The sequence below is a fragment of the Homo sapiens genome, chromosome 2 (genome assembly GCF_000001405.40).
Source record: "Homo sapiens chromosome 2, GRCh38.p14 Primary Assembly".
Taxonomy (NCBI): domain Eukaryota; kingdom Metazoa; phylum Chordata; class Mammalia; order Primates; family Hominidae; genus Homo; species Homo sapiens.
Window position 1 is genome coordinate 87,070,209 of NC_000002.12, and position 8,140 is coordinate 87,078,348.

Genomic DNA, 8,140 nt, shown 5'->3' on the forward strand with positions numbered 1-8,140 from the left:
TATGACCTACTGATATACTATTTTCCAGACTAGATGTTAAAAACAGATATCAAATTGTATTCAAAACAAAGTCACTATTCTCTCAAGAGTGTCTTGTTAGTATTTAGCAAAAGTCTGGGTAACAAATGGGCAACCTGGCTATGAGGCCTACTCCATGCACACCAAAGAATAAGGCTAAAAAGGTAAACAAGCTACAAGTCTACCAAGCCCCGATATAATACATTTACTTTCATTCAAAACAATATATTCAACACTGGTCGGCTCTGAAAAAGCACAGATCATTCATATATACAAATAAGCATACTTTTCAACACATGTGTTTAATATACACAACCCAAATTCTAGATTGGAAGATTATACCTAACATGCGACCCTCAACCTCTGGTTTCTGTGTACTGATGCAATATCATACCACAGCAATGAGTTAAAAACGTGACCTCCACAAGTTTCTTTTTTTGTTTTTCATGTTTTACTTGCCTACTTACCTTCTCATTTGTTACCTTCACATTTTTAAAAAGACAGCAGTTCTCCAACTGGTAACCAAAGTTTCAACAGTTTCTTTGATTCACCGAAGAGATAAGGGTAGGAGTTATGGTTTACATGAGTTTTACTACTAGAAGTCACAACATACACACACACCAAAGGAGTTTTAGGTGCTAATACAGTATATGTTGATCACTCCCACAGATGAAGACATCTTTACCAACTTGCAAAGTGAGATAACACTAAGCCTTAATCATAGTAAATGGAAATACATATCCGATGCGTTAAAGAAAAAAGGAAAAGTGACAAATCGTCATTTCACTGGATTCTTTTAAAATTTTTTCTGGAGGTCGGGCGCAGTGGCTCACGCCTGTAATCCCTGCAGTTTGGGAGGCCGAGGCGTGTGGACTGCTTGAGGTCAGGTGTTCAAGACCAGCCTGACCCACATGTTGAAACCCCGTCTCTACTAAAAATACAAAAATTAGCCAGGCGTGGTGGCAGGTGGTGCCTGTAATCCCAGCTACTCAGGAGGCTGAGGCAGGAGAATTGCCTGAAGCCAGGAGGCGGAGGTTGCAGTGAGCTAAGATCGCACCACTGCACTCCAGCCTGGGTGACAGAGGGAGGCTGTCTCAAAAAACAACAAAAAAATTTTTTTTCTGGAGACTGGCATTTATGTCTGTGAAGTGGGCAACCAGGTGGTCCAGGAACAAGAGTAGAAAGATTTTTCAATGGGTGTCTTTTTTATCATTTGAGTTTATACCATTTGAATGTACTATTCACTGGGTTATCTTTTTCATTGTTTGAATGGATACCATTTGAATGTATGACTTACTAAAAATTAATAAATAAATTTTAAATTTAGAAAATTCCTTGAAAGTCACTTTCAGAAACCACATTAGAACTCCGTTAGTCTAAAAATAATCAGAAAAGAATACTGCATGTCCTTTACTCTTACAAAAACTGCAATTTTCCCAAGTATACTTTTAAATGTGTCCTGAAACCATTACCAACTGTTTCTGCCTAATTTTCTTTCACAAAGTATGAGTGCAGAATACCAGCAAAACATGATAAATAGTTCTTTTCTGTTTTTCCCTTCCACCACAGAGGTGCTAATGGGAAACAATATAAATTTGCCAATAGGAAAAAAATGCTAAAAGGCATATACTCACAAATCAAATCACTAAAAGTTAACCATACAGTAGTTAACCCTGTTAAGCCAGGGTTATCCAAAGCACCGCTCCCATACCACTGATGCGAATGGTAATTTTAGCTAGTATGTAAACTAATATTTTAATTGTTATGAATTTATTTTAACATGTAGTTTATTATACCTAATACCTACATACCACATGTAGGACTACACAAATATCACTGCCTAAGATAAATCTACTTAAGTAAAATCGTGAATCCATCTGAAAAATAAGAGTGCACATGTGTATGAGTGAAGTTTTAGAAGCACCAGTGCACTATACAAATTAGATCGAGGCACACTGGGAATGACCACCAGCCTACATTAACCACAATGAACTTAGACCAAACTTCGTGCTCACAGGGAAACTCTCACTGAAAGGCTGGCACAACTAAATGACAGAAGCTGTGATCTCTATTCCTCTTACCTTGGACACCTCACTGCAGGCTCTGGATCACTCCCCACCCTCCTATCTACCACCCTAAGGTTTCTAATTCCAAAGGCATGAAGAGAAGTCTAGAGTCAGTCTCCAGGGAGAGGAATGTCTTGGCCTCGGCAGAGCTCTTCAGTATTCTCCCTGGTTCTTATTGCCTCTTCATATTTCTATTACACCTATGTTGTCCCTGAACCACCAATATTCCCTAACTGTCTATGGCACCAAGTCGAAGCCTGCACTTCCCTCTCAGAGCCTTATATTCCATTATTGTTCTCTGCTGCAGGCCTGATACCAGTCCAACCCCATTTAAAAGAAAAAAAAAAAGATATTCCTGTTGTCAGGCTGATGGATTTGGCCAGAGGTGGATTAAATGGCAGAGCACAAACCAATTCACCAGGTATGAGAGACCAGCCCATACTATCCTCATTTCCCCAAGTGTATCTGCATTAACAAACTTGCATTTTAAAAAAGATTAACGAGAGAAATTTTATGTAAAAGAATTTCAAGCTACTTAAAGGTGATTTAGACCACCTGAGAAATTTTAGGGCTCACTGCAGGACTATCTCCCAGCCAGCAATCAGGCAGTATTTACAATCTGGAATAAGGGTGCTGAGACTAGAAAAGGGTTGTCAATGGGCTTACTAACTAAACTCTTATTTATGTATGATCAGTTTCCATCACAAACTATCCTAACAGCTCATTTAGTATATAGCTGTCTGCTCACAACTTCAGAGATGAAAAAAAAATTTTAACATAAAACATTCATCCTCAGAAACTGAACCAATCCCTTTAGGTTGGCTAAAGGATGCTTCTGCAACAGTCATTCACCAGTATGATGCAATGATGTGTTCTATATAGTCCTCAAAAATTCTGTTTTATTCATACCAGATTCTTGCAAGTATTACCACAAGTAATCTCAGAGAATGAGGTCCAAAGTCCTGACAGAGGGGTCCCAATTAGAGCCTCTCAGGTTATCAGAATCATTTGCCCAGACAGGTATATTCAGAAGCCCAAAAATCTTCCCTTTAAACTTGAAAATAGAGTTCCAAACTCAGTTTTCAGTAAAATACCTTTGAGAAGGGCATATTTAAGTTTCAATGTAATATCTACCACATCACCTGCCGAGAACTTTAATTTAGAAATCATCTGTTTTCAAAAATACCATAGCCCAGATGCCAAAGCATGATGTTTACCTTTACACAAAAAAACACCAAAAGAAGAAAGATTTTATTTGGGAAACTAGACCTGGCACTTGTGGTATTTATTTTCTTTCATGTTTTATAACTACCTTTAGTCACTTAATCCTATTATTGAAGAATTAAAGGAAATCAAAGAGATACCAATATAAGACTAGCAATTTGGTAGACAAGAGGGAAAAAATTAGGAGGCTGAAAAAGGAACACACAAACTCACCAACTCAGACTGTTTTTAACAGCATAGCATACTGTGTGGCCAATACCCCTCAAACCATAAATTCTGAGAAAAGTTCCCTAGTACCCAGTGGAGAGTCAAAAACAAATTCCTGCCTCAGCAATTTCTCACCATCATTTTATCCATCTGAGCCTGGCCCTAAATTTTCTAAAACAAAGCTCACAATCACATCCCCCTTCAACTTACATCCTCTCTCATGGAAGAAAGGTACTTTCTGTTCCATCATTTTCCTCTCAAACTCTGCCTATGACCTGGTCCCTAAAAACGAAATGTTCCTTCCACCTCTCCAAGTCTAGGCCCTTCATTCTCTTCCTCCACTGGTTCCTTGGCAGGGCCGGGAGCACAGAGGGAATACCTCCCACCGCTGTACTGGATTTCCCACACCGCGGTTCACATCGAATTTTTCTTCTTAACCCCCAGTAATCTGGCTTGTCTTAGCAATTCTATGAAACTGCAAGCACAGAGGGTTACTGACTCCCAATAGCCAAATAAAAGCTGACCAATCTCTCCTTTTCTAAGTCCTCGCCCTTTTCGATTTCTGCTGGCTCTATCTAGCCTTGGCTCTCCACTCGCCAAGGAAAATTCAAGACTGTGGTTAGACTCTAGTCTTTCTTCTGTGCAATCTAAGTGATCCCCTCCACTGTCCTCCTAGAAATGACATCAGAAAACAATCTTAGACCTATGCATCTCCAGCCACCAGTAAATAGGAAAGCCCTCGATTCTATCTTCATTAAGCCCTTCAACCTTACTTCACATGTCCAAAACCAAATTCAAAGTCTTCCCAGGATTCCTGTCCCATTCCACCTTCACTTCCCTGTATCTACCAACTATATCATCATCGCCACGTCAGTCAAATTTCCCTTCACAGGCAGCCACCAAGGTCTGCTCGTTTTTCCATACTAGTATTGCAACTCCTATGAGAATTAATACGGTTTTTCCATATTAAAATCTCATCCACTATGACTGCAGGTTTGCTTCCTTCCTGGAGTTCAAAAATGACTGCAGTGTCCAGAATGAGAAGCTGCTGTAAGACTCCTTTCCCATGGACCAGCACCCATCCTCAACTGAAACGCAGTCTGGGAAAGTGTGAAAAAATGAAGGAGAAGGAGAGAGACACTCAGCTAACGCCACTGCCCTCATCTCACCTGCCACAAATAATCTGCATCTTCCCCCAGCTACCAAACCGTCCTTCACATAAATTTCTGTTCAGCCCACAAGCTGAAAAGCCTCCTCAGCCTCTTATTAAAGACCCACTAAATAAGTCCTTTACTTCTTGATCAAAAGGAATCATCGCTGTGACTTCTAAACTGTAAGAAAACCAAACCTTTAAAAGTACCTGTCCTCAGGGCTTGGGGCAGTAAAAAAAAAAAACAATCTAGGTGAAACGTCTTCTATAGGAAAATTTATTTTTTTTGAACGAACTTAACCAGGCAAAGCAAGTAACTAGCAACATGTGCACCATTTACTTGGGCAAATGTCGCCCGTTCCTCCTCGGTGTCATCAAAAGGTACACTGGGAGAACAGAAGGGTTGAATTGAGCTGGTTTCCAAGGAACCATGTCAGAGCCGCTGCGGAGTTAAGAGCTGCGTCCACACAGCAGCCAAATCATGAAGTTGCAGGAGCGGCTGTTGTTAACCCACAGCTAAGAATAACGCTCGACTTTCCAAAATAAAACGAAGAAACGAAGTCCCCTGGCCAATGATTCGGGGCGGCACAGAGGGGAAACGGAGCTTCCTGCACTGCCCTCATCACTCAGAACCTGGGGTCCCAGGCGATTCAGTCACCGCCCGCAGAACAGCGCCGCGGGCACCACGTGAAACTCCCGGGGCCGGCTGGGGGCGGGGGACGAGGGGCGCCCACTCGGGGGTCGGCAGTTTGCAGGTGCGATGGGCGGCCCCCTCACCCACGTTTATCCGGACTGGAGCCCGCCGCTCCCGGCCGGGTTTCCGGGTGGTTCGCGCTCCTTCTGAATTGGCAGCGAGGTCGCGGCAGGTTCGAGGTAAATCGGACGAAGAGGGGAAAAAGTCTCAGGGGTCTGGGGGCCTCCGCGCCTCAGGGGAGGCAAGGGCCGGGCCAGAGGCGCGAGGGTGGGTGAGGGATTCCCGCCGCGGGGCCGGGACCGGGGCTCGGGCAGTGGGCCCTGCCCCGCGCGCCCACGCGGGCCGCCCTACCGTGGCTCTGCAGGATCTCGTGCTTGAGACCGCCGGTGTAGTCGATGAGCTCCTCCAGGCCGCGCTCGCACAGCTGCCCGTAGCCCGAGAACTTGTGCAGCACCTTCTCCAGCTCGCGCTCCACCGTCACGCACTGATCCATGCCGGAGGCGGCGGCGCTCGGCTCCTCGGCGCCCAGGTGTCCGCAGCCGTTCGGCCCGGGCCCCGCCGAGGCCGCGTCCTGCTCCTCGTTCCCCAAGCGGGCGGCGCGGGAGGCTGAGGCGGCCGAGGCGGCGGGCGCACTAGCCGCGGCGCCGGGGGAGCCCCGCGCAGCCGGAGCCCGCCTGCCCCATGGCGCCCTAGCCCCCTGGCGAGTCGCCGCTGCTCCCGTTCGCTCGCTGCACTCGGCCCCGCGTCCCCAGGCCCCGCTCGCGACGTTCGGGTGCCTGCGACGGCGCGGCCGATTGTTTTTGTTTTCACGGGAACCGACCGATGACCTGGTTCTCCCGGGCGGCACCAAGTGCCGCCGACTGGGGGGAGGGGGATGGCCACCCGGGCGAGGAAAGGAGGCGGAGCGGGCCGTACCAAGTACACCCTCGGGGTGGGGGGTGCGACCCGGCGAGAACGGGCGGAGGAACGCGACGGGCGCCCACACGCGCCGCCACTCTAATGGTGTGCGCCGTACCACACGGAAGGCGTGCGAGGGAGAGGGCGAGGGTGGAGCGAGGCCCCAATTGGCCTGAGGAGCTAAATAGGGAACTTTGGAGACAGCCCCAGCGCTCGGAGAGCGCAACAACTACGCGCTCCATAAACAAGGAGGCGGAAACCGGCCCTCACCACTCCGCCCAGAAGCGGGGAATCCCAACCAATGGGCGCGGGGAGTGGTAAGAAGCCAATCCCTGGCCGAGGCGTAAGCCTTCAGCCAATCCGGGCTGAGGGGCCAAACCAACGGGCTCGCTGTTGGAGGGGGTGACTTGGAGAGCGTACCGAGAAACGAGTAGTTTATGGAAAGCCTTGGGGGAAAACTAGACAAAAATACAAAGGGCTGTTTTCCATAGGACGTAGCCCTGATCCCAATTTATTTCGTCTCCTCATCGATCTTAAGGGAAAGGGGTACCGTCATTCCGAACTTTTGGGCGACGGATCCATCTCCCGGGATGAAAAACCAAGCCAGGCCGCCCGGGGGCTGGTTCTGCGTCGGCGGGGGGTCCCTAATGGGAATTAAAGGCGGGGGTGATTGGGCCCGGGTGAGGGGAGCCGCTTGCTGCTCGCGAAAGGCCCGCGCCGGCTGTCAGCGCTGCCCCGGGCTTGCGACACCCAGGAGGTCATGTCCCCATCCCCCGCGGACCGTGGCCCTTTGGCCCCTTGGCCTGGAACCTCTCCTGACGGTGGCCTCGCCCCAGAGCCATGTGCCGGGCAGCTTAGCCGGGTGGAAAGAACACGCGCTGGAGAGCCGGGCAGCCTGGCCCTTGCTCCCTAGGAAGCCTTATGCTATCGGATCGGATCGGCTTTACCCCCTCGGGTAAATCCTTCCCATCGCTTGCTATGGCGTCTGCAGCCTTGGCCTAGACCTCCTTGATCAGCATCGGCTGCACTACCTTTGCATTTCTTCAGGAGCCCAGCTAGTTCGTGCCTCAGGGCCTCTGCACTTGCCCTTTCCTTGGCCCAGAAAACTCTTCCTCCTACCTTTTTCATCCTGAAGTTCTTCTCAGCTCACTTGTCCCCTTACAGAGTCCTCCCCTGGCTGACCACACTAATGTACTTCCTCCCCACCGTTAATACCATAACACATTTTATTATTTCCACACCACTTAAACTCTGAAATGATCTGATGTTTTATTTTTCTGTCTGCACCACTTACATAAAACCATGACGGCAGGCCCCCTGCTTGTCTAAATTTTTTGCCTAGAACAGCCCCTGGCATGAGGTGGTAGGCAATTCTTTTTCTTAAATTAACGTGATAACGTTTTTGAGCCTTAACTTCCGTATAACTGAGAAATAATTGGAATTAATACTTAACTAAATTGTTAGATAAAGGAGAATATATGTAAATACCCATAATAGGCTCATGATAACCACATGATAAAGGTGGTAGTAGTCATTATTAGGGCAGCCCCAACTGGTATTATTTCAGATCTCCCTTCTCCCCACCCCATTTTTCTTCCCTCTTGGCAGATGTCTCTGATTCTTCACTGAGATTAAAAAAAAAAAAAAAAATCTAGCTCCAGCAACTTCTATCACTCTTTTCCAAGTATTGCTGTGTACCACCCATTTTGTGAACATTCTCATGTACCCAAAGGACCAGGAGTCCCTTCTCCCTTTCCAAGACAGCCGTTGGGGCCTGCGGGCTGCCTCTCACCCCTGTCCAGATCTTCCCCCTCTTTCTCTGCAGTAGGTTCTTCCTTTCTACTTTCAGCCCAAATGGGTTTGACCTACCTGGGGGAGGAAACT

At 47.5% G+C, this 8,140-nt stretch overlaps 1 pseudogene across 1 annotated transcript in view, besides 5 other annotated features; it reads right to left on the bottom strand.

Annotated features, from left to right (window-relative positions):
* Positions 1 to 6,205, bottom strand: part of ANAPC1P2 (ANAPC1 pseudogene 2) — a 45,739-nt pseudogene extending 39,534 nt beyond the window's left edge. The window contains exon 1 of the transcript NR_026846.1: positions 5,711 to 6,205. The product of NR_026846.1 is annotated as an ANAPC1 pseudogene 2 (transcript). The remainder of the gene's footprint in view (positions 1 to 5,710) is intronic.
* Positions 5,236 to 5,305: a silencer, noted in NCBI's record as "silent region_11722". NCBI's record gives its function as "represses an Ori minimal core promoter by ATAC-STARR-seq in GM12878 lymphoblastoid cells {active_cell/tissue: GM12878}" and the evidence as "EXISTENCE:reporter gene assay evidence [ECO:0000049][PMID:35858748]".
* Positions 5,406 to 5,485: a silencer, noted in NCBI's record as "silent region_11723". NCBI's record gives its function as "represses an Ori minimal core promoter by ATAC-STARR-seq in GM12878 lymphoblastoid cells {active_cell/tissue: GM12878}" and the evidence as "EXISTENCE:reporter gene assay evidence [ECO:0000049][PMID:35858748]".
* Positions 5,636 to 5,695: a silencer, noted in NCBI's record as "silent region_11724". NCBI's record gives its function as "represses an Ori minimal core promoter by ATAC-STARR-seq in GM12878 lymphoblastoid cells {active_cell/tissue: GM12878}" and the evidence as "EXISTENCE:reporter gene assay evidence [ECO:0000049][PMID:35858748]".
* Positions 6,116 to 6,175: a silencer, noted in NCBI's record as "silent region_11725". NCBI's record gives its function as "represses an Ori minimal core promoter by ATAC-STARR-seq in GM12878 lymphoblastoid cells {active_cell/tissue: GM12878}" and the evidence as "EXISTENCE:reporter gene assay evidence [ECO:0000049][PMID:35858748]".
* Positions 6,470 to 6,975: an enhancer, noted in NCBI's record as "NANOG-H3K27ac-H3K4me1 hESC enhancer chr2:87303801-87304306 (GRCh37/hg19 assembly coordinates)". NCBI's record gives its function as "activates a minimal SCP1, AML or CMV promoter by ChIP-STARR-seq in primed H9 embryonic stem cells {active_cell/tissue: H9 hESC(primed)}" and the evidence as "EXISTENCE:reporter gene assay evidence [ECO:0000049][PMID:30033119]".